The 25,975-nt window shown below is 40.9% G+C and overlaps 1 protein-coding gene across 15 annotated transcripts in view, besides 3 other annotated features; it reads left to right on the plus strand.

The window, feature by feature from the left end:
* Positions 1-25,975, plus strand: part of STARD9 (StAR related lipid transfer domain containing 9) — a 145,393-nt gene that overhangs the window by 31,702 nt on the left and 87,716 nt on the right. Inside the window, exon 1 of one of the 15 annotated variants that reach the window (XM_017022441.3) lies at positions 7,383-15,601. The exons of the other annotated variants lie outside the window; for them this stretch is intronic. Coding sequence (XP_016877930.1) covers positions 15,587-15,601 — 15 coding nt within the window. The 5' untranslated portion in view covers positions 7,383-15,586. Of the gene's footprint in view, positions 1-7,382; positions 15,602-25,975 lie in introns of those variants that run through there. 15 annotated transcript variants of the gene reach the window in all.
* Positions 1,736-2,005: an enhancer, noted in NCBI's record as "active region_9307". NCBI's record gives its function as "activates an Ori minimal core promoter by ATAC-STARR-seq in GM12878 lymphoblastoid cells {active_cell/tissue: GM12878}" and the evidence as "EXISTENCE:reporter gene assay evidence [ECO:0000049][PMID:35858748]".
* Positions 11,826-12,591: an enhancer, noted in NCBI's record as "OCT4-NANOG-H3K27ac hESC enhancer chr15:42911331-42912096 (GRCh37/hg19 assembly coordinates)". NCBI's record gives its function as "activates a minimal SCP1, AML or CMV promoter by ChIP-STARR-seq in primed H9 embryonic stem cells {active_cell/tissue: H9 hESC(primed)}" and the evidence as "EXISTENCE:reporter gene assay evidence [ECO:0000049][PMID:30033119]".
* Positions 12,592-13,356: an enhancer, noted in NCBI's record as "OCT4-NANOG-H3K27ac hESC enhancer chr15:42912097-42912861 (GRCh37/hg19 assembly coordinates)". NCBI's record gives its function as "activates a minimal SCP1, AML or CMV promoter by ChIP-STARR-seq in naive H9 embryonic stem cells {active_cell/tissue: H9 hESC(naive)}" and the evidence as "EXISTENCE:reporter gene assay evidence [ECO:0000049][PMID:30033119]".

Below are 25,975 nucleotides of genomic sequence, written 5' to 3' on the forward strand. Positions count from 1 at the left end.
TTCTCCTGCCTCATTCTCCTGAGTAGCTGGGACTACAGGCATGCACCACCATGCGCGGCTAATTTTTATATTTTTAGTAGAGATGGGGTTTCACCATGTTGGCCAGGCTGGTCTCAAACTCCTGACCTCAAGTGATCTGCCCACCTCACCCTCCCAAAGTGCTGGGATGACAGGTGTGAGCCACTGTGCCCACCCTCCTGATGCCTCTTTTTCTGAATAGATTCTTTCTCATCTGTGGAGTACCCTAGGAATTCCAGTTTCATATTAGAGAGGGAAAGAATAAATACAGGACCTCCAGACTGAATCTAGGAGAATCTTAATATATTATACACACACACACTTATACACACACACACACACACACACACACACACACACAAATATATATTTGAATATAATTAAATCCTATATTGTTTTACAGGTTTTTCCTAAATCCCACCTGCTTCCAAGTATTTATTTTCTAGCAAGTATTTATTTACCCCCCTCTGATCAGTATCTTCCACATAGAAGTACTTACACAGTAGGGAGGATGAATCTCTTAGGCATTTGTCAGCTCCGTTAGGATTTTTAGAGGTTTACTATGTTTTATTGAAAACCAGCCTCAAGTTCCTGATTGACTGTCCAGGTTTGTGTCAGTATATTTCTTAGTTGTCACTAACAAGTAATTGTGGAGCTGAGTGCTCACCCCCACCCCCCGCAGGTCTCTTTTCCATTATCTTATTTTTTGTTTTTTTGCATACACTTTGGTAAGTTGCTGAGACAACCTTGAGAAACACCTTTGTCCAGGGATATGGGCTAAGGCTGGAGTCAGGCTTTGTTTGCTTGGTTGAAGTGACTTGCTATGAAGGGCTGAGGTGTAAGAAGTGCCACAGACGAGTGTGGTTAGAGATCTTGTGACTCTGGCATGCAGCACTGCCCTTCTGCAAGCTAGTCTTTAGGATTGGAGGAGGGTAGTGTGGTTTGTGGGTAGTGTGGCTTGAGGGAAGACAGGACCCTGCCAGCCGGATGCGTGAGGTGGATGCTGTTCAGATGAACACATAACTAATCTCTTCAACCAGACCCTGGATTGCCAAGAATGATATGGGCTTCACCTGGGCTGGCTGAACCCAACAATGAAACCGGAATTGTCTCAGAGGCTCAGCTCCCTTGCTTCTCTTACATTAAGATTGGTCTCTAGAGACCCATTTAGACTAAACAGTATTAAAAACAGGAAATTTGCTCCTAGCAGCCTGATTGCAGGAAAAGTTTTTTCCACATAGGCAGGAATGAATGTTAAGAACAAAAACTCCATCCTCCAGGCTTGTTTTCTTATATAAAATTATTAGCAACCAAAAAAACTTGAAGCATCTTTGACATATTGGACTACCTCTCAGAGTGCTGACAGGACCCAATACCAAAAGGTGATAAAGAGCTCTTGTGAACACAATCAAAAATATGAAAACGGTGCTTTGTGGAAGATACTGACCTGGTAATGTTTATCTTGCCTGAAGATCAAATATGTGGAAATTAATGCAGAAAGGATTGGGGGAAACCTAAAGAACAGCTATAATTTAATTTTAGTCAACACTCATTTATTGTGACTATTCTGGATTCAGTCCATAGATTATGTATTCATGTATTCAGTCAGTGTTAACCGAGCATGCACTGTGCGTTGTTGCTGGGTGCCATGTCCCAGCTTCAGCCTTAGATGTGTGAGATCCTCTTTCCTCTTTGGTACCTCAGGGGCTTGCTAGGGTTTTCTTATGACAGTTCCGGGCATCCCTAGATCTAGAGACCAAACTCCTGGGACTGCTGCTCTTTTGAATGATTTTGCTGCTGAGGATAGTGGGGGGCGGGAAGGGGAATATATTGGAAGAAGAGAAAGGGGACAAAGAGAAAACTAAAAGCTAGAAAGGAAATGCTTTTTTTCTTCTGTGATGTCATTCTGCCCAAATAAGTCGAGTGTTGAAGAAGGCTTCTAAGCCCTCAGAACGTGACCCAAGTCCTCTCTCTAACCCTGGCTTCTATTCATAACCCTAATGTGGCTCAGTCAGTGTGTCATGAACACACTTCTGCAGAAGAGACGGTATGGTCAAAAGATTCTTTAGTAGATCTGTGTCATTTCTTTGCTTGTGAGGAAACAACTATTTTTAAAACTTTTTTTTTTTTTTTGAGATGGAGTCTTGCTCTGTCACCAGGCTGGGGTACAGTGGCACAATCTTGACTCACTGCAACCACTGCCTCCCAGGTTCAAGCAATTCTCCTGCTGCAGCCTCCTGAGTAGCTGGGACTACAGGCACGCGCCACCACGCCCAGCTAATTTTTGTGTTTTTAATAGAGATCGGGTTTCACCATGTTGGCCAGGCTAGTCTTGAACTCCTGACCTCGTGATCTGCCTGCCTTGGCCTCCCAAAGTGCTGGGATTACAGGTGTGAGCCACCGTGCCCAGCCCTGAAATTTTAATTTAAGTGAAGGTGACAGTGGTTTCTGGCTAACTAGTTAATCAGAAATGTATTTGAATAATGGCTGGGTGTGGTGGCTCATGCCTGCAATTCCAGCACTTTGGGAGGCTGAGGCGGATGGATCACTTGAGGTCAGGAGTTCCAGACCAGCCTGGCCCATATGGCAAAACCCTATCTCTACTAAAAATTCAAAAATTAGCTGAGCATGGTGGTGGGCTCCTGTAATCCCAGCTACTCGCGAGGCTGAGGCAGGAGAATCACTTGAACGCAGGAGGTGGAGGTTGCAGTAAGCTTAGATCACGGCACTGAACTCCAGCCTGGGCGACAGAACGAGACACTATCTCCAAGAAATAAAATAAAAAATAAAGAAATGTGTTTGAATAAGAGTCTCATTTTGTGATCATTTACGTAAAAGCAGCATAACCATTGCTTTATGATAGTCATTTTTGCTGCTCGCTGAATATTCATTGCCCTTCATCTTCTGCTGCTAGGATTTCACTTCCCAGCCCCACTTGGTTAGGTGGGGCCATGTGATTGGTTCTAGCCAGTGGGTTATTAGCAGAAATAATGTCTGAGCCTTTGATTGCTGGGATATGACCCTCTAAAGCCCTCTTTCCTTTCGGCAGCATGATCAGCAACATTGGAGATGGGTTGTTCTCTCAGTTGGGCCCTAGAGAAGCTGTAACAATCAGTGTCCCCTACTGACTCCTGTGTAGCATAAGCCAGAAATAAACTTCATTGTTTAAACCACTATTCTTTTGGGGTTTGCTGCAATAGCCAAACTTATACTTTCTTTTTCTTCTTCTTTTCTTTTTTTAAGACAGAGTCTCACTCTTGTCGCCCAGGCTGGAGTGCAGTGGCGCAATCTTGGCTCACTGCAACCTCCGCCGCCCGGGTTCAAGCTTCTCCTGCCTCAGCCTCCTGAGTAGCTGGGATTACAGGCACCCGCCACCACGCCCGACTTATTTTTGTACTTTTAGTAGAGACGGGGTTTCGCCATGTTGGCCAGGCTGGTCTTGAACTCCTGACCTCAGGTGATCCGCTTATCTCAGCCTCCCAAAGTGCTGGGATTACAGGCGTGAGCTACCGTGCCTGGCCCAAACTGATTCTTTCTTAACTGATAGATTACTCACTGTTGAGTTTGTTGAATGGCTTTAACTTTGATATAGTATCAGTCACAGTAAGAAAATGGGTCGAGGTGATCTGTATATGTACTTTCATTTTATTTTCAATGATAAATTATTTTAATGAATTTCCAAGGATTGAAAGTACCCAGGACTCTCTTAGTCTTGCTTTTTTCCCCCTTTTTCTATGGAAACCCACAAATCTATTCTATTTTTTGAAGTTGGCTCTAAAAAGGACTTTTGCCCTACAGCAGGGCTTGGCAAACTATGATCTGTGGGCCAAATCTTGCCACCACCTGTTTTAGAAAGTAAAGATTTTTTGAAATACAGCCATGTCCATTAGTTTATGTAATATTTGTGGATGATTTTGTATACTACAAAGATGGAGTTGAGTAGTTGTGACAGAAACATTATGATCCACAAAGCTGAAAATACTTGCTATCTGGCTCTTGATAGAAAAAGTTTGCCAGTGTCTGCCTTGTAGGATCCTTAATTATTAGGAATGGAAATGTTCCCAGAGGATTTGCCTCAATTGTTGGAGACATTCTCGTTCTTGGAAATTCCACCTGATGGAAGGAAAGCCTTCTTTTGGATCTTTAGTCCAGCATCACCTTTTAAATATACTATCCTTTAGACAGAGACACAGCTTACCCTTCTTGGGTTTTGCCTATGACTAGATAAAGACTCCCTCAACCTTGATAATCATGCCATCTTTTATACTGCCACCCTCATTGTCCTTGTCCAGGCCAGCTGCTGGGCAGACTGCTAACATGTCCACTTCTCATACAACTGCTCTTCAGTGTGTCTACTTTATGCTTGTTGCTGTTGGCTGTTAAACTTGCCATTGTATTAGGGCTTTTTCAGGATACAAGGACGAGGGGTGATTAGGTTATCTCACATTGTGGGTCATTAAGGCTATGTGGGGAAATAAACTGGAAACTGTCAGCAGTCACACAGCCAAGCCACATGACACTGGAATATTATTTATTACTGCTCAGAATTCAACAGTAACTATAAGAGACTAATGGTACCTCTCTCCTGTCAAGAACTCCCCAAAAGAGTTGATCAGTTAATCTTTGGCATACCCTTATTAACATTATTATGATTATTATTAGAGACAGGGTCTCACTCTGTCGTCCAGGCTGGAGTGCAGTGGCACAATCATGGCTCACTGCAGCCTCAATCTCCTGGGCTCAAGTGATCATCCTGTCTCAGGGCCTTAGCCTCCTGAAGTAGCTAGAACTACAAGCATGTTCCACCACACCTGGCTAATCTTTATATTTTTTGTAGAGACAGGGTCTCTCTATATTGCCCAAGCTGGTTTCAAACTCCTGGCCTCAAGTGATCCTCCAACCTTGGGCTCCCAAAATGGTGGCATTACAGGCCGGAGCCACCTCGCCTGGCCCCTTATTAGCATTCTTATTTGGGTCATCTGTGAGCTGACAGTGAGCACCTAAGAACATGAGTCTTAGGCTCATGCTAAAAATGCTTACCTTTGCTTGGAAATCGAGTCAGTGAGGCTCTGGAAAGAAGTGACATAAAACATGGTAAATTATGATAAAGGAATCATTTGTGGTTGTCTTTTTAGAAGAGGCTGTGGGAACGGCAAGAACTTAGAGTCTATTCCAATAAAGCTATCTTTTATCATTTCTCACAGGATTCTAATGAATCCATCTTTTTGTAGGGAGGAGGGAAGTGTTAGAGCTAGATGTCCATCTGTCTGTTAGGATAGCCTCATAAGGAATTTATCAGATCTCACATGCTACTCGGACAGTTGTCCATGGGAACATTCTTTAGCAAAAAGAAGCACTGACAGAAATAGCAAAATCCAGCAGGTTGCAGTGGCGCATGCCCATAATCCTATCAATTGGGAGGCCGAGGTGGGCGGATCACCTGAGGTCAGAAGTTTGAGACCAGCCTGGCCAACGTGGTGAAACCCCGTCTCTGCTAAAAGTACAAAAATTGGCAGGGTGTGGTTGCACATGCCTGTAATCCTAGCTACTCAGGAGGCTGAGGCAGGAGAATTGCTTGAACCTGGGAGGTGGAGGTTGCAGTCAGCCAAGATCCTGCCACTGCATTCCAGCCTGGGCAACAGAGCGAGACTATGTCTCAGAGGGGAAAAAAAAAAAAAAAAAAAAGAGCAACATCTGTATAAAGAAAAGAAAATATTTTTGATTATCTCAAAGCTAACTTTTTCTGGTTCCCTCAGGAACTAGGGTCTTATGCTGGGAATATGGATTTATGTTTCTGTATGCATTTATGTATATCTGTCATCTGTATAATGAGTGTATGTATCTGTTATCTCTATATAAACTCCTCCTATTTGTTATTTTCTTTTTCTTTCCTTTTTTTGTTTTTTAACTTTTCAGAAAATGAAGCACTAGACAGGGACTTAGGGGACTGGCCTAGGGACAGAGAGATTTCCATTTTTGCATTTTTACCTTCCAATAAAGGTAATAAAAGAGTAGCATTTAGCAAAGAGGGGATATTTTAGGATCTGATACCAGAGAGACCCTAAACTTTCATCTTTGGTACCCCAACCCCTTCTAGGTGAAAGATGGTCAAGCATAGTGATTAAAAAGTATGGTTTATTTCCCAGATTCATAATTTACTGGCCATAATCCTGAGCAAGTCCATTTATATTTCTGTGCCTCAGTTATCTATAAAATGAGGATAATAATAATACCTGAGAGGAGTTGTGAGGACTATATTAGTAAATAAATGTAAAGCACTTATAATAGTGCTTAGCAGATAATAAGTGCTGTCTGTTGTCATTATTGACTTCTCTGATACCATATCAAGAATTTATCGGCTGGGCGAGATGGCTCACACCTGTAATCCCAGCACTTTGGGAGGTTGAGGCGGGTGGATCATCTGAGGTCAGGAGTTTGAGACCAGCCTGGCCAACATGACAAAACCCCATCTCTACTAAAAATACAGAAGTTAGCCGGGTGTGGTGGCTTGCGTCAGTAATCCCAGCTACTCGGGAGGTTGAGGGAGGAGGATCACTTGAACCCAGGAGACAGAGGCTGCGGTGAGCCGAGATCCTGCCACTGCACTCCAACCTGGGTGACAGAGCAAGACTGCATCTCGGAAAGAAAAAAAAAAGAATGAGGACATCTGAATAAAATAATGGCTTCCATAATAACAGTGTATCAGGCTGGGCACGGTGTCTCATGCCTGTAATTCCAGCACTTTGGAAGGCTGAGGCGGGCAGATCACAAGGTCAGGAGTTCAAGACTGCCCTGACCAACATGGTGAAACCCCGTCTCTACTAAAAATACAAAAATTAGCCAGACGTGGTGGTGGGCGCCTGTACTCCCAATTACTTGGGAGGCTGAGGGAGGAGAATCACTTGAACCTGGGAGGTGGAGGTTGCAGTGAGCCAAGATCGTGCCATTGCACTCCAGCCTGGTGACAGAGCGAGACTGTCAAAAAAAAAAAAAATTATAAGAAGGCTTTTAAGTGGACAAGAAAAAGAAAAAGCAGTTCAGTAGAAAAACAGTCGAAGTAGGCACTTCATAGGAGAGCAAAACCGAATGGCCCAAAAAATGAATGATGAGCTCAAACTCATTGTTACTCTAGTAACAAGATACCAGTTTGTTTCCTTTAAACTAGGAACAGTGAAAAAGAACAGTGATGCTGATTGCTGGTGAGAATGTGCAGAAGAGGGCCCATACATTTTCGATGGAAATGTAAAATTGTTACAGCTTTTGGGAAAGCCATCTGGCAATATGTATTAAAATAAATATTTTACCCTTTGACCTAGGGGTCCCACACCTGAAACTTACTCTATAAAAATAAAAACACCAGGCTGGGCACGGTGGCTCACGCCTGTAATCCCACCACTTTGGGAGGCCGAGGTGGGCAGATCATGCCGTCAGGACTTCAAGACCAGCCTGGCCAGCGTGGTGAAACCCCGTCTCTACTAAAAATACAAAAATTAGCCAGGCATGGTGGTGGGCACCTGTAATCCCAGCTACTCGGGAGGCTGAGGCGGGAGAATCCCTTGAACCCGGGAGGCGGAGGTTGCAGTGAGCTGAGATCGTGTCACTGCACTCCAGCCTAGGTGACAGAGCGAGACTCCGTCTCAAAAAACAAAAACAGAAAACAGCAGTTCATAAAGATATATAGTCAAGGATTTTTTTTTTTTTTTCCAGGAGTCTTGCTCTGTCGTCCAGGCTGGAGTGCAGTGACACCATCTTGGCTCACTGCCATCTCTGTCTCCTGGGTTCAAGTGATTCTCCTGCCTCAACCTCTGGAGTAGCTAGGAGTATAGGAGCCCACCATCATGCTGGCTAATTTTTTTGTATTTTTAGTAGAGAGAGCGTTTCACTATGTTGGCCAGTCTGGTCTCAAACTCCTGACCTCAAGTGATCCGATGCCTCCGCCTCCCAAAGTGCTGGGATTACAGGCATGAGCCACCACACCCAGCCATGGTCAAGGATGTTTACTGGAAACATTGTTAGTAAGGATAAGATAGTAGAAACAAAGTGATTGCTCGTAATAGTTGAATCAGTTTTGGTATATTCATAGGATGAAATACATTGCATCTTCCTTGGAAGAATTTCCATGAAATGGTATTGACTGAAAAAGAATATGACAGCATCCCATTTTTTAGTTAAAAAATTATTTAATAACATCCCATTTTTAAAAAATATTAAAAAACATCCCATATATATATATGGGTTATATATAAAACCCATATTATATATATATAAAAATGTGTGTGTTTATGATTATGACTATGGGAGGAACAAGAAAGGATGCCTGATGTTAACATGTTATCTGGGAGTGAGAATTAACATAGGAGGAAAGAGAGAAGGGAGATGAAAAGGAGATTAAAAAAAAAAAAGGAGATAAAGCGTTCCCACCTCAGCATGAATGCTGTCTCAATTATTTTAAATAGTATTTTGTGTAACTGTGGCTGTATGTGTACACATGAAAAAGAAGAGTTATATGCATAGCTAATAGATACAGTCTTTATGTCCATGATATGTGATAAAAAGCAGGTTGATGTATATTGTATGTATCTATTTCAGTAAAAATAAAACAAAGACCACAAAAATCCTTGTATATGTGGAGAAAGGTATGGAAGGAAACACATCAGGCCACTATTTGAGTACTTCAATGAGTAGGATTGGGGTGAGCTTTTTCTCAAACATTGTATTTTTTTTTTCGCTTGGTATAAGAAGTGAGCATTGTTTGTAATTTGAAAAACAGCAAAGAAAAAATGTAATTGTGTTCTACTCATTTAATAATGGCCATGTGGGTGAAACTTGTGCAAATGAAAAGGTTAATATGTGCAATGAAAAGGTTAATAATAGGCAAAAAGACTCCAGAAATGATTTATGTGCAAATGAAAGGTTAATAATGGGCAAAAGACTCCAAAAACGATCAACAAATGGGAGTGGGATCAGATTTTATTACTTTTGGCCAAAGGCCATTTCAAAATATTAGTAAGACTGTTATTCAGAAATACTGAAGGGGAGACATGGTAAAGTTTCTTCCACTGTAAAGTGAAACAACGGAAAGTAAGGAACCTTGAGGAACAATTTTAAATTGTAGAGTAATAGCTTAGTGTTCAACAGATAAGATTTGCCTTTCCTGATAACTCTGCCAACAGAGTTATTTTGTTAGCGGCAGAATATCACAGTGGTTCAGAGCAAGAGCTTTGTTTAGAAGTACCTACTACTAGCTGTGTGCCTTCATTTTTCTCATAGGAAAGTTAGAGAATGGCCGGGTGCAGTGGCCCATACCTGTAATCCCAGCACTTTGGGGGGCTGAGGTGGGCGGATCACCAGGTCAGGAGATCGAGACCATCCTGGCTAACACGGTGAAACCCCATCTCTACTAAAAATACAAAAAATTAGCTGGGTGTAGTGGCGGGCACCTGTGGTCCCAGCTACTCGGGAGGCTGAGGCAGGAGAATGGCACGAACCCAGGAGGCAGAGGTTGCAGTGAGCTGAGATCGCGTCACTGCACTCCAGCCTGGGTGACAGAGCGAGACTTCCTCTCAAAAAAAAAAAAAAAAAAATACAAAAAGAAAGTTAGAGAATAACAGTAACTACTTCATAAATGTATTGTAAGGATTAAATGAGTTAATCTTTAAGGTGCTAAGAAGTAATCTAATACAAAAATAATTCCTGAGTTAAGTGTTATTAGCTATATGGATCTAAAATGCTGGTTTTGAATAGAACACTTCTAATGAAGTATTCATTGTGTAAAAGAATCCTAACAATTCACCTTACACAGTAAGAGCCGTGCCCAGCACAGTGTTTTGCTTTAGTACATGCTTTACAAATACTGGTGGAATAAATAATTTTCATTCCTTTCACATAATTTTATTAGAGTGTCTGATTAGTTCAACATTATTTCACATATTTTGATTAATATAGGATTTCAGAAATTAATGCCAGTCAAATTAATGTTTGACTTCAGAAAATTAGGAGGAAAAGAACATTTATAGGGTGATAACTATTACCTATAATAATTTTTTTTTCTTTGGAGACAGAGTTTTGCTCTTCTTGTCCAGGCTGGAGTACAGTGGCACGATGTTGGCTCACTGCAACCTACTCCTCCCAGGTTCAAGGGATTCTCCTGCCTCAGTCTCCCGAGTAGCTGGGACTAGGTGATAATAGTTATCACCCTAGTTGGAATTGGATTCAAGAATGAAAGCGACTCCTGTGTACATAAATATACACAGCTTTCAATGGGGGGAATGTGAGTATGCTAACTTGTGCTTTCAACAGTCATTACACATTATCACAACTTTATATAGAAAAGGAATCTAAACAATTTTGTTTATTGTACTACCATTTGATTTTTAAATTCTCTTTCACTGTTGTTTTCATTCCTTCGTTTTTGTTTAAATTTTTATTTTGTTCTTTTCTTTTCTAGAGACAGGGTCTTGCTCTTTTGTTCAGGCTGGAGTGCAGTGGCACGATTATAGCCCACTGCAGCCTCAACGTCCCAGGCTCAAGCGATACTTCCACCCCAGCCTCAGCCTCCAGAGTAGCTGGGAATGCCAGCATGCACTATGACACTCTGCTAATTTTTTTATTTTTTGTACATACGGGGTCCCACTATCTTATTGAGGTTAGTCTGAAACTCCTGGGCTCAAGTGATCCTCCTGCCTGGCCTCTCAAGGTGCTGGGATTATAGGCATGAGCCACCGTGCCTAGCCCATTCCTTCATTTAGTACACACTTTATGTATTTAGTAGTATACTTTTATTATGTATTTCTTTAGTATACACTTTTATTTACTATTTATTTATGATTTACAGGGCCTTGCTGTCTCCCAGGCTGGAGTGCAGTGGTGTGATCATAGCTCACTGCATTCTTGACCTCCTGAGCTCAATTGATCCTCTTGCCTCAGCCTCCTGAGTAGCTGGGAGTACAGGTGTGCGCCACCACACCTGGCTAATTTTTGTATTTTTTGTAGAGATGGGGTCTCCCTATGTTGCCCAGGTTGGTCGTGAACTCCTGTGCTCAAGTGATCCTCCTGCTTCAGTCTCCCAAAGTGCTAGGATTACAGGCATGAGCCGCCACACCCTGCCACTATACACTTTTATTTGTGTTGATTTTGTTAATTTATATTGGGCTAGATAATCATCCATTTCATCTAGGTTTCCAAATATATGGTGCTAGAGTATATCACTATGCATGAATGTCCTCTTCTAATTTAAAAAATACTTGAAAAAAAAGTTGTCTTTTTTTATTTTTATTTTTTATTTATTTATTTTTTTGAATCTTGCTCTGTCACCAGGCTGGAGTGCAGTGGTGTGATCTCGGCTCACCGCAACCTCTGCCTCCTGGGTTCAAGCGATTCTCCTGCCGCAGCCTCCCGAGTAGCTGGGACTACAGGAGTGCACCAGCACGCCTGGCTAATTTTTGTATTTTTATTAGAGATGGGGTTTCACCATCTTGACCTTGTGATCCACCTGCCTCGGCCTTTCAAAGTGCTGGGATTAGAAGTGTGAGCCATCGCGCCTGGCCAACAGTTTTGTCTTTTATATATGGTTCTTTTTTCTTGTCCCCAGATATTTTTTTTAATCTTTTCCTATCTTAATCTGGCATTATCTATTTCATTGTTTTTCCAAAGAAATTGCTTTTGTAAATATTTATTCTTTATAACACATTTTGTTTTCTAGTCTGTTAATTTCAGTTTTTACTCTTTTATTTCAGTTTTTCACTCTTCCTAATTTTGTTGAATTTTTAAAAATTTAAATTTACATATGGTAAAGTTTACTTTTTTGGTGTACATTTCCATGAATATTTACACATGCATAGATTCTTGTAATCACCACAGACAGGACACAGAATGATTTGAACAACTCCAGGAATTCCCAAGTGCTGCCCCTTTGTATTCACACTATCCTGCCACCCTAACCCCTGGCAACCACTGATATGCTTTTTGTTCCTTTAGTTTTGCTTTTTCCAGAATCTCATACATAGACTTAATGTAGTATGTAACCTTTTAAGACGGGATTTTCAGCCTGGGCAACAAAGTGAGACATCTCTACAAAAAATTAAAAAAAAATTAGCCGGGCATGGTGGCACACATCTGTAGTCCCAGCTACTTGAGTAGCTGAGGTGGAAGGGGAGGGGTTTTAGGTTGCAGTGAGCCAAGATCGTGCCACTGCACTCCAGCCTGGGTGACAGCGCAAGACTGTCTCAAAAAAAAAAAAAAAATTCTCGTAAGGAACATGCAGCCTAGAACCCTCGCAGGCACCTGTGCAGTTTAATAGGGTTCACACTCTTGTGAAAATGTAATGCCTCTGCTGATCTGACAGGAGGCAGAGCTCAGGCAATGAAGTGAGCAATGGGAGAGTAGCTGTAAATACAGATGAAGCTTTACTTGCTCCTCGCCTGCCTGCCCACCACTCACCTCCTGCTGTGTGGCCTGGTTCCTGGTTGGGGAGCCCTGACTCAAGCTTTACCCAATTTCTTTTGGTTTATTTTGCTTTTGTTCCCACTCATTCCTTAAGATGAATATACTGTTGAGCTAATCAATGGCTAACTTGCCCTAAGGCTTGAGGTTGGGGTTGAATAAACGAGAGGCCTTTATTCAGATCAGCAGGAGGGGTTTCCTCCAGTAGGATTGTTTTGTTCTGGCATCTTTTAACTTTAAAGCTTCCCTTAAGCTGGTTTCTCTTCATGATTCTCCTTCCAGGTGACCATCTCTTTCCCTTGGCTCTTTGGGCCCAGCAGTGGTGAATTTCCATTTTTGTTGGTTCTAGGTTACTGGACTACTCTTTGTGGTTTCCTGCTTCTCACAGTTGACCTAAAAGGAAGAAGCTGAGGCAAAATAAGCAGAAAGTTTGTTTGGGCCAACTTGAGCATTGCAACCTGGGAGCAGAGGTTCAAGTTGCCCTGAATATACACTCCAATTAGCAGCAGTTATAAGTAGATTTTTTTTTTTTTCCGAGACTATGTCTCTACAGAAAATTAAAAAATTAGCTGGGCATGGTGGCTCGCACCTGTATTCCCAGCTACTCCAGAGGCTGAGGCAGGAGGGTTGTTTGAGCCTGGGAGGTCAAGGCTGCAGTGAGCTGTGATCACACCACTTCATTCCAGTCTGGGTAACAGAGTGAGACCTGTCTCAAAAAAAAAAAATTTTCAGGAAATTAAAGTGTTAATTGCTGCCATCTAATCCTTAGACTTCATTCAGGATTCACTGATTGTCCTAGTAAGATCCTTACAGCAAAAAGATTAAGTTCAGCATCACTTGTTGCATTTAGTTATCTTAACTCTAGTCTAATTCAGTCTGGAATAGGTCCTCAGTTTTTCCCTGATGTTCATGATCTTAACACTTACGAAGATTACAGGCCAATTATTTTGTAGAATGTCCCTTTTATTTTATTTTATTTTATTTTATTTTATTTTATTTTATTTTGGAGACAGAGTTTCCCTGTGTCGCCCAGGCTGGAGTGCAGTGGCACAATCTTGGCTCACTGCAACCTCCACCTCCAAGGTTCCAGCAGTTCTCCTGCCTCAGCTTCCTGTGTAGCTGGGATTATAGGTGCCTGCCACCATGCCTGGTTAATTTTGTATTTTTAGTAGAGATGGGGTTTCACCATGTTGGCCAGTCTGGTCTCGAACTCCTGACCTCAAGTGATCCACCCGCCTCAGCCTCCCAAAGTGCTGGGATTATAGGGGTGAGCCACCACCTGGTATACATGTCCCTTAATTTGGATTGTCCAGTGTCTCCTCATGATTACATTCAGATTATGTATCCTTGATACCAGTATCACTGAATTTACTTTGATTGCTTGATTAAGGTGGTGTCTGCCAGATTTTTTTCACTGTAAAGTTACTCTTTCTCTTCTTTGTAATTAATAAATATTTTGTATTTAATAAATATTTTGTAGGAAGTACTTTGAAACTATGTATTCCGGCCCTCATCAGACTTTCAAATTATTTATATCTGTGATCCATGGTTATATTATATATTATATCTTTGATTCATGGTTTCTCATTTTATACAGTGGATTACAACCTGTTACTATCATTGCTTATTGTGTTAAAAGAAAAATTTTAGACAAATTTAACAGAGCTTAATTGAGCAAAGAAGAATTTACAAATAAGGCAGCCCCTAGAACTACGATAGGTTCAGATACAGCCTGAGGCTGCCACATGGTTGGATAACACTTTTGGACAGAAAAAGGAAAGTGACATACAGAAAACAGAGGGATGAGGTACAGAAACAGCTGGATTGGTTACAGCTCATTTTCTTCATTTGAACACAGTTTGAACAGTTGGCTGTCTGTGATTGGTTGAAACTTGGCTACTTGTTACAAAAGTAGGTTACAGTCTGTTTATACATTTAGTTAGGTTATAATCACTATGTATGGAGAAACCCTTAGGACAAACTTAAAATCTGCAAGGAGACAGCTTTAGGCTAAACTTAACAATTGTGATGCTCATTTTGTTCCTGTTAGTGGAAAATGATATTTAGAAACCAAGTTCTGGGTGCTAGATGTGATCATTTCTGTTGGGGTATCACTGTTTTCAGGTCCTCTTGGTAAAGTTAGACAAAGCTAGGGAATATATATTTGCATATACATTTTCATATATATACACATACATTTATCTATTTCTTTTTCAATCTATATTGAAGCCTATGAATTCTCACTGATTCTGATCTAATACCATACAATTCATTCTTTTTTGTTTCCTTGACTCTACATTAAAGGAAAATAATTCATTCTTGCTTTCTTCCTCTCCTAATTTATAACTCCTTTATCTGATGATGAGGCTGGCTGTGGTGGTGTGCAACTGTAGTCCTAGCTACTTGGAGGCCACGGCAACTCCTTGAGCCCAGGAATTCAAAGCTGTAGTGGGCTGTGATTGTACCACTGCACTCCAGCCTGGGAGACAGAGTGAGACCCTTAAAAACAAAAAACAAAGAAAAAGAATAATGAAAAATGAAAGCCAAGTTTCTCATTATCACCTGTAGCTCGCTCTCTCTCTCCCTCTCTCTCTCTCTCTCTGTCTCTCTCTTTTTTTAGAGACAGGGTCTCACTTTGTTGCTTACCCTGGAGCGCAGCTGCATGATCATAGCTGATTGCAACCTTGAACTCCTGGGCTCAAGTGATCCTCCCACCTCCGACTCTTGATTAGCTGGGACTTCAGGCATGAGCCACTGCCCAGCGGATGTCTCTCCGTTTTGGATCCATACTTCCTTGTTCAAATAAAACTAACTTGAAGGAAGGGGTGGGGCAGAGAGATTTGTTTGACTGTCTCTGTGGTTACTTGCCTGGGTATCTGTTGTTCCTGAGGTGGGAGATCTTTAGTTGTAACTATGAACTTTCCAAGGTTGACAGTGAGGTATTAAGAGATGACAAATGGAAGTACAAAGATTTTTCAGAGGGAGTCATGTGACATGGTTGTTCTCCTGTTTTGTCCAGAGCTCTGATGTTCTGAAGGATTGAAATGAAAAGGATACATTTTATATTTTATGGTGATACAGTCCTGGGGTCAACCTCACTGAAGAGAGGCCTTTATCTGGGGACATTATGTGGGGCTTCAAGGTAGGGACCTCTCTCAAAGTGTGCTTTGAAATAAGTAAGTATAGCTTAAGATGCAGATCAGGGCCAGGCGTGGTAGCTCACGCCTGTAATCCCAGCACTTTGGGAGGCGGAAGCAGGCAGATCACCTGAGGTCGGGAGTTTGAAACCAGCCAGACCAACATGGAGAATCCCCACCTCTACTAAAAATACAAAAATTAGCTGGGTGTGGTGGTGCATGCCTGTAATCCCAGCTACCTGGGAGGCTGAGGCAGGAGAATTGCTTGAACCTGGGAGGCGGAGGTTGCAGTGAGCTGAGATTGTGCCATTGCACTCCAGCCTGGGCAACAAGAGCGAAACTCTGTCTCAAAAAAAAAAAGATGCCGATCAAATGCCAACACTGCTATGAATATTTCCCTCACTACCTCAGGCCACAGTCATTTTCCTTTCTCCAAATATAATATTTATGTCTCCTCTTTATTCATATTCTACTATGTACTGGTATTGAACTGTTTACTGACTCTATGGTCTATCTCTCCAACTATATGATAAGTTTGTTGTGGACTGAAGACAGTGTTTGAAAGGTTTTTCAAACCTCTCTCAGTGTCCTGTGTGGTGCTGGGTTCCTGTTAGGAACTCAATAAATACTTTCTTCCAAGATTAAGAGAATTCTAGTTCTGGGACTTGGATGGTTCAAGACTCATTTCTTTCAAAATAATGACTCTTCTTTCTTTCCGTTGGGTATGGCATAGATTTCATTTGGCTTTGTTCGTGTTTACCTTCATTTCAAAATTTCTGTTGTAGTCTCTCCCTTCTCTTGTTCTTTGGGAACTGTTTAAATACCAATTTCCATGGTATGCATTGCATGGATAAATGTAAAATGTGGACGAACATGGGAAATAAATCTCTGTATTTCACAGCATAAAATGGAGAAGGCAAATAGGAAATCTAGACTCATTTGTCAAAGTTACATATAGGCTGTTGCCTGGAAAAATCTGCAATTTATCAGGGATAGTATCTGGTCCACACTTGGGCCAGGGCCCAAATTATGTCAGTTAACTTCTAGCTAGGCTTACAATGGGAATAGATGCATCTATAAACATTTATATTGGGTAGAGACCCAAAGATGAATGGCCTGTAGTGGGATTGAAGGAACAGCCCAGAATTTACCTGACATTTATGAAGTGTGGACAGTATTTCCTGAAACTGTGGGTTTATGTTTGCAAAGCTGGCACAGATGACACTTTCCCTTGTTAGACTGTTCACACTTTGGGTAAGCTACTGCCAAGTGGACAGTGGCTTATGTAAGGCTTGGATGCCTTGTGAGTGGAGCTATAGTATGCTTTCCCATGCTATATACATTGGGAAATTAAATAGAAAATTTTAATTACTAATTAAAATGAAAAATATTAAGTTGTCTAAGCATAAACAGAAAAACACTATTTATGTCTATAATATAACAAAACAAGGTTCAGCTTAGTATCCTCATTATATTTAGGTATTCTTAATTACTGTATTTACATCAGAATTTAAGATCTTGAAGGAACATTAGATATATTATCTAGAAATAAAACAAAAGTCTGAAAGAGTAATTTCACCACCAAAATGTTAAGAATGTATTATCTCTGAATAGTGGGATCATTTTTGTTTATCACCATTTTCTGTTGTCTTTTTTTTTTTTTGAGACAGAGTCTCCCTCTGTCATCCAGGCTGGAGTGCAGTGACGCAATCTTGGCTCGCTGCAACCTCCGCCTCCCAGGTTCAAGTGATTCTTCTGCCCAAGCCTCCCAAGTAGCTGGGACTACAGGCATGCGCCACCACGCCCAGCTAATTTTTGTATTTTTCATATAGACAGGGTTTCGCCATGTTGGCCAGACTGGTCTCGAACTCCTGACCTCAGGTGATTCACCTGCCCTGGCCTCCCTAAGTTCTGGGTTTACAGGCATGAGAGAATAATTTTCATAGTGAATACACAAATACTGACTTGTCAATAAAGATGTTATCTGTTACTGCATTTAGTAGCAATTTTTCTAAAAAGGAATAAAGTTTTCTAATATAATTCTTTTATTTTAACAATGGAGTTACAGACCCATAGAGATAAGTAATATTTAAAATTCATTTAAACAGAATACATCATAGACATTTAAAGCTATTTTCTTTTTGATACAGTCTCATTCTGTCACCCAGGCTGGAGTATGGTGGCACAGTCTTGGCCCACTGCAACCTCTGCCTCCCAGGTTCAAACGATTCTCCTGCCTCAGCCTCCCAAGTAGCTGGGATTACAGATGTGTACCACCACACCCGGCTAATTTTTGTATTTTTAGTAGAGATGGGGTTTCACCATGTTGGCCAGGCTAGTCTCATATTTCTGATCTCAAGTGGTCCACCCACCTCAGCCCCCCAAAGTGCTGGGATTACAGGCATGAGCCACCACCCCCAGCCTTAAAGCTATTTTCTGTTTTTGGAGACAGAGTCTGACTCTGTCGCCCAGACTAGAGTGCAGTGGCGCGATCTCGGCTCACTGCAACCTCTGCCTCCCGGGCTCAAGCAGTTCTCTTGTCTCAGCCTTCCAAGTAGCTGGGATTACAGACACACGCCACCACTCCCGGCTAATTTTTATATTTTAGTAGAGATGGGGTTTCACCATGTTGGCCAGGCTGGTCTCGAACTCCTGACCTCAGGTGATCCACCCACCTTGGCCTCCCAAAGTGCTGGGTTTACAGGCATGAGCCACCATGCCTGGCTGCTATTTTCTTCTTCCTATTTTTTTTTTTTTTTAGGTAGATTAAGAAAAACTAATGAAGAACTTCTTTTCTGTGTGAAAATTTTAGTTTTTAATAGCAATTTCAGTTTGTAATAGACATGCATGAAACTTTTCTGTGGGAAGGTATTAAGGGCTGAGTACTACATGTATTTTGTTGAATAACTAACCTCTCTCTCAGTGGAATGATTTTCGTATTTATAAAAGAAAAAGAATGACCCCTAAGCCCTAACAAAACCTTCAAGACATGAAGAAAGAGTTATTATTATTATTATTTTATTTATTTATCTTTTTGAGACAGAGTCTAGTTCTGTCGCCCAGGCTGGAGCACAGTGGTGCGATATCGGCTCACTGCAGCCTCTGCCTCCTAAGTTCGAGTTATTCTCCTGCCTCAGCTTCCCAAGTAACTGGCATTACAGGCACCTGCCACCACGCCTGGCTAATTGTTGTATTTTTTAGTAGAGACAGGGTTTCACCATGTTGGCCAGGCTGGTCTCAGAACTCCTGACCTCAGGTGATCTGCCTGCCTCGGCCTCCCAAAGTGCTGGGATTACAGGCATGAGCCACCACACCTGGCAAGAGTTTTAATTCTTCTTCTTCTTCTTCCTCTTCCTCTTCCTCTTCCTCCTCCTCTTCCTCCTCTTCCTCTTCCTCCCCTTCTTCCTCTTCCTCTTCTTCCTCCTCTTCCTCTTCTTCCTCTTCCTCTTCTTCCTCTTCCTCTTCTTCCTCCTCTTCCTCCTCTTCCTCTTCCTCCTCCTCTTCTTCCTCCTCCTCCTCCTCTTCTTCTTCTTCCTTCTCCTCCTCCTCTTCCTTCTCCTCTTCCTCCTCTTCATCCTCTTCCTCTTCCTCTTCTTTTTTTTTTTTTGTGGCAGGGGAAAGAGTTTCATTCTTGTTGCCCAGGCTGGAGCGCAGTGGCGCGATTTCGGCTCACTGCAGCCTCCGCCTCCCGGGTTCTAATGATTCTCTTGTCTCAGCCTCCTGAGTAGCTGGGATTACAGGCATGCGCCACCACGCTCAGCTAATTTTGTATTTTTTTTTTTTTTTTTAGTAGAGACGGGGTTTCACCGTGTTGGTCAGGCTGGTCTCGAACTCCTGACCCCAGGTGATCCACCCACCTCGGCCTCCCAAAGTGCTGAGATTACAGGTGTGAGCCACCGCGCCTGGCCATCTTTAATTTAATGGTTTATGTGAGGGTTTTTGATATCAGTTTTTTTTTTTCAAGACAGCGTCTCTCTCTGTCACCCCAGGTAGATGGAGTGCAGTGGTGTGATGTCGGCTCACTGCAACTTCTACCTCCGCGGCTAAAGCGATCCTTCAACTTCAGCCTCCCAAGTAGCTGAGGCCTCTCAGCCTCCCAAAGTGCTGGTATTACAAGTGTGTACCACCGTGCTTGGCCAATTGTTTTCTGGGAGGCCAAGGTGGGTGGATCGCTTTGAGTCCAGGAGTTTGACACCAGCCTGGGTAACATGGCAAAACTCCATCTCTACAAAAAATACAAAAATTAGCTGGGCATGGGGACATGTGCCTGTAGTCCCAGCTACTTGGGAGGCTAAGGTGGGAGGATTGCTTGAGCCTGGGAAGTTGAGGCTGCAGTAAGCTGTGATTGTGCCACTGTACTCTAGCCTGGGCAGCAGAGGGAAACCTTGTTTCAGAAAAAGAAAAAAAATTATGGGTACATAGTAGGTATATATATTTATGAGGTACATGAGATATTTTGATACAGGCATACAATGCGTAGTACTCACATCAGGGTAAATGGGATATCCATCACCTCAAGCATTTATCCTTTCTTTATGTTACAAACATTCCCGTTATGCTCTTAAAGTTATTTTGAAATGTACAATAAATTTTTGTTGGCTGTAGTAATCACGTTATGCTATCAAATACTGGATCTTACTCATTTTGTCTAACTTTTTTTGTACCCATTAACCATCCCCCTTTCCCTCTACCGCCACTGCCCTTCCCAGCCTCTGGTAACCATCATTCTACTCTCTGTTTTCATGAGTTCAAGTGTTTTAATTTTTAGCTCCCACAAGTTTGTCTTTCTGTGCCTGGTTTATTTCACTTAATGTAATGTGTTCCAGTTCTATCCATGTTTTTGTAAATGACAGGGTTTCACTGTTTCTATGGCTGAGTAGTACTCCATTTTGTATATGTACCACATTTTGTTTATGTTTGTCTCTTGATGGACATTTAGGTTGCTTCCAAATCCTCACTATTGTGAATAGTACTGCAATAAACATGGGAGTGCAGATACCTTTTTGACATACTGATTTCATTTTCTTTGGATAAATACCCAGTAGTGGGATTGCTGGATCATATGGTAATTTTATCTTTAGTGTTTTTTTTCTGAGGAACCTCCATACTCTTCTCCATAGTGGCTGTACTAATTTACATTCCCACCAATAGTGTATAAGGGTTCCCTTTTCTCCACATCCTCACCAGCATTCATTATTGCCTGTCTTTTGGATAAAAGCCATTTCTCCTGGGGTGAGATGATAACTCATTGTAGTTTCAATTTGGATTTCTCTGATGATCAGTGATGTTAATATATCTTTTTATATGTCTGTCATTTGTATGTCTTCTTTTGAGAAGTGTTTATTCAGATCTTTTGCCTATTTTAAAATTGAATTTTTAGATTTTTTATTGATTTTTTTGCATTCCTTATGTATTCTGGTTATTAATCCTTTGTCAGATGGATAGTTTGCAGATATATTCGCCTGTTCTGTGGGTTGTCACTTCACTTGGTTGATTGTTTCCTTTGCTATGCAGAAGCTTTTTAACTTGATGTGATCCCATTCATCCATTTTTGCTTTAGTTGCCTGTGTTTCTGGTGTATTATTCAAGAAATCTATGCCCAGACCTATGTCCTGGAGAGTATTCTCAGTGTTAATGTTTAGTAGTTTCATAGTTTGAGGTCTTAGATTTAAGTCCTTAATCCATTTTGATTTGATTTTTATATAAGGTGAGAGATAGGGGTCAAGTTTCATTCTTCTGCATGTGGATATCCAGTTTTCCCAGCACCATTTGTTGAAGAGACTGTCTTCTCCCCTGTGTATGTTTTGGCACCTTTGTCAAAAATGAGTTCACTGTGGTGTGTGGATGTCTTTCTGGGTTCACTGTTTTGTTCTATTGGTCTGCGTGTCTGTTTTTATGCCAGTACCGTGCTGTTTTGGCTACTGTAGCTCTGTAGTATAATTTGAAGTACGGTAATATGATTCCTTCAGTTTTGTTCTTTTTGCTCAGGATGGCTTTGGCTATTCTGGGTCTTCTGTGGTTCAATAAAAATTTTAGGATTGTTTTTTCTATTTCTGTGAAGAATGTCATTGGTATTTTGGTAGAGATTGCAAGTATTTCTCATACTACCCCAGTTAAATTTCTTTTTTTTCCCCAAGACAGTCTCTTGCTCTGTTTTCCAGGCTGGAGTGCAGGGACGTGATCATTGCTCACTGTAGCCATGACCTCCTGGGTGCAAGCAATCCTCCCACCTCAGCCTCCCAAGTAGCCAGGACTATAGGTATACACCACTACACCCTGCTAATTTTGTTTATTTTTTGTAGAGACAAGGTCTCACCATGTTGCCAGGCTGATATTCAACTCTTGCACTCAAGGGATCTTCTTCCTCAGCCTCCTAAAGTGCTGGGATTACAGGCCTCAACCACTGTGCCTGGCCTATAGTTTTCATTGTAGAGGTCTTTCATTTTGGTTAAGACTATTCCTAGGTATCTTATTTGTAGCTATTGTAAATGGGATTGCATTCTTGATTTCTTTTTCAGATTGTTCTCTGTTAACATATAGAAATGCTACTGATTTTTGTATGTTGATTTTGTATCTTGCAAGTTTACTGAATTTGTTTATGAGTTCTAACAGGTTTTTGGTGGAGTCTTTAGGTTTTCCCAAATATATCATCTGCAAACAGGGATAATTTGACTTCTTCCTTTCCAATTTGAATGCTTTTTCTTTCTTTCTCTTGTCCGATTGCTCTAGCTAGGACTTCTACATTGAATAACCGTGGTGAAAATGGGCATTGTTGTCTTATTCCAGATCCTAGAGGGAAAGGCTTTCAGTTTTTTCCTGTTCAGTCTGATACTAGCTGTGGATCCCTTCTTGTATATGGCTTTTATTGTGTTGAGGTATGTTCCTTGTGTACCCAGTTTCTCAAGGGTTTTTTTTTCTCATAAAAAGGATGTTGAATTTTATCAAATGCTTTTTCAACAATAGTTTAAATGATCATATGGTTTTTGTCCTTCATTCTGTTGACATGATGTATCACATTCATTGATTTGCATATGTTGAGTCATCCTTGCATCCCTAGGATAAATTCCACTTGGTCACGATAAATGATCTTTTTTTTCTTTTTTTTTTTTTTTTTTTGTGAGACTGAGTCTCACTCTGTCGCCCAGGCTGGAGTGCAGTGGTGCAATCTTGGCTTACCGCAACCTCCATCTTCTGGGTTCAAGTGATTCTCCTGCCTCAGCCTCCCAAGTAGCTGGGACTACAGGTGCGTGCCACTACACTCAGCTAATTTTTTGTATTTTTAGTAGAGACCAGGTTTCACCACGTTAGCCAGGATAGTCTCGATCTCCTGACCTTGTGATCTCCCTGCCTCGGGCTCCCAAAGTGCTGAGATTACAGGTATGAACCACCACGCCCAGCCTGAATGATCTTTTTCACATGTTGTTGAATTTGGTTTGCTGGTATTTTGTTGAAGATTTTTGCATCAATGTTCATCAGGGATATTAGCCTGTAATTTTCTTTTTTTGATGTATCTTTATGTGGTTTTGGTATCAGGGTAATACTGGCCTTAAAAGATGAGTTTGCAAGTATTCCCTTTTTCATTTTTTTGGAGTAGTTTTAGTAGGATTGGTATTAGTTCTTTAAATGTTTGGTAAAATTCAGCAGTGAAGCTGTCAGGTTCTGGGGTTTTCTTTGCTGGGAGATTTTTATTACAGCTTCATTACTTGTTACTGTTCTATTCAGGTTTTGGATTTCGTCATGGTTCAATTTTGGTAGATTGCATGTGTCTAGGAATTTATCCATTTCTTTCTAGGTTTTCCAATTTATTGGTATATAGTCATAGTAGTCTCTAATGGGACTTTGGATTTCTGCAGTGTCAGTTGTAATGCTTCCTTTTTCATTTCTGATTTTATTTATGTGAGTCTTCTCTTTTTTTCTTCATCTGTCTAAAGGCTTATCGATTTTATCTTTTCAAAATACCAACTTTTCATTTTTATTGATCTTTTGTATTGCTTTTTTCATTTCAATTTCATTTATTTCTGCTCTAAGTTTTTTTCTTCTGCTCATTTTGTGTTTGATTCGCTCTTACTTTTCTAGCTCTTTTTTTTTTTTAATTAAAAAAATAGAAATGGAGTCTTACTATATTGCAAGAGTTTATAGAGCTTGAGCCCAGGCTAGTCTTGAACTCCTGGGCTCAAGTGATCTTCTTGCCTTGGCCTCCCAAAGTGCTGGGATTACAGACATGGACCACCATGCCTGGCCACTTTTCTAGTTTTTAAGATGCATTATTAGGTTATTTGAAGTTTTTCTACTTTTTTGATATAGATGCTTATTGCTGTAAACTTTTCTCTTAGTAGTACTTACACTGTATCCCATTTGTTTCTTCTGTTTCCGTATCCATTTGTTTCAAGAAATTTAGGCCAGGCATGGGGCTTACACCTGTAGTCCTAGTACTTTGTGACGCCAAGTTGGGCAGACTGCCTGAGCTCAGGAGTTCAAGACCAGCCTGGGAAACATGGTGAAACCCTGTCTCTACTAAAATACAAAAAAAACCAGGCGTGGTGGTGTGCGCCGGTAGTCTCAGCTACTTGGGATACCAGGGCATGAGAATTGCTTGAACTCGGGAGGGAGAAGTTGCAGTGAGCTGAGATGACGCCATTGTACTCTAGTCTGGGTGACAGAGCGAGATTCCGTCTCCAAAAAAAAAAAAGAAATTTTAAAATTTTCTTCTTATTTTGTTCAGTGGCCTAGTGGTCATTCAGGAGCATGTTGTTTAATTTCCATGTGTGTGTATGGTTTCCAAAATTCCTCTTGTTATTGATTTCTAATTTTATTCCATTGTGGTAATAGAAGATAGTTGATATGATTTCAGCTTTTTGGAATTGTTTTATTATTTATTTTTATTTATTTTTTCCTTAACCCACCTTTCAGGAAGATTTTTTTTTTAAATTATTTAAGATGTGTTTTGTGGCCGAACATATGGTCTATTCTTGAGAATGATCCATGTGCTGAGGAGAAGAATGTGTATTCTGCAGCCATTGGATGAAATGTTCTGTAAATATCTATTAGTTCCATTTGGTTTACAGTGCAGATTAAGTCCAACATTTCTTTGTTGATTTTCTGTCTGAATGATCTTTCCAATGCTGAAAGTGGGGTGTTGAAGTCTCCAGCTATTACGGTATTGAGGTCTCTCTCTCTTTAGCTCTAATAATATTTGCTTTATATATATCTGGGTGATCCAGTGTTGGGTACATATATATTTATAATTGTTACATCCTTTTGCTGAATTGACCCCTTTCTGATTATATAATGACCTTTGTCTCTTTTAAGTTTTTGTCTTGAAATCTATTTTTTCTGATACACATGTAGCTACTTCTCTTTTTTGGTTTCCATTTGCATGGGTTATCTTTTTCTCTCCCTTTGTTTTCAGTGTATATGTGTCTTTATAGGTGAAATGTGTTTCCTGTAGGCAGCAGATTGTTGGGTCTTGTTTTTTAAATCCATTTAACTCTGTCTTTTGATTGGAGAGTTTAGTCCCTTTACATTCAAAGTTATTATTGATGAGTAAGGACTTCTGCCATTTTGTTATTTGTTTTCTGGTTGTTTTGTGGTCTTTTCTTCCCTCTTTCTTTTCTTCCTGTCTTCCTGTTTTGTGAAGGTGATTTTCTCTGGTGACATGTTTTAATTTCTTTTTATTTTTTGTGTATCTTTTGTAGGTTTTTTGATTTGAGGTTACCATAAGGCTTGCAAATAACCCATTCGTTTAAACTGATGACAACTTAACACTGATTATTAAAACAAATAAACTAACAAAGAGAAAACTAATAAAAATGTCTGTAATCCTAGCTACTCAAGAGGCCGAGGCGAGATGATCCCTTGAGCCCAGGAGTTTGAAGCTGCAGTAAGCTATGACTGTGCCACTGCACTTCAGCCTAGCTGACAGGATAAGACCATGTCTCAAGAAAAAAATAAATAAAGAGCCAGACACAGTGGCGCACACCTGTAATCCCAGCACTTTGGGAGGCTGAAGTACGTGGATCACTTGAGTCCAGGAGTTCAGTACCAGTCTGGGCAACATGGGGAGACCTGTCTCTACAAAAATACAAAAAAATTAGCTGGGCATGGTGATGCACACCTGTAGTTCCAGCTGCTGGGGGGCCAAGGTAGGGAGATCGTTTGAGCCCAGGAGGTCAAGGCTGTGGTAAGCCAAGATTGTGCCACTGCACTCCAGCCTGGGGGACAGAGCAAGACCCTGTCTCAATTAAAAAAAAAAAAAAGAACAGGGAGTGTAGTCTTGAGTTAGCAGCTCCTTTGTCCCTAATTACGTGTATTACTTTGTTTAATCTTCACAACAAACCTGTATTACAGATACAAAAATAAACATTTTATACCTAAAGAAA

Source organism: Homo sapiens, chromosome 15 (assembly GCF_000001405.40).
Source record: "Homo sapiens chromosome 15, GRCh38.p14 Primary Assembly".
Classification (NCBI taxonomy): Eukaryota; Metazoa; Chordata; class Mammalia; order Primates; family Hominidae; genus Homo; species Homo sapiens.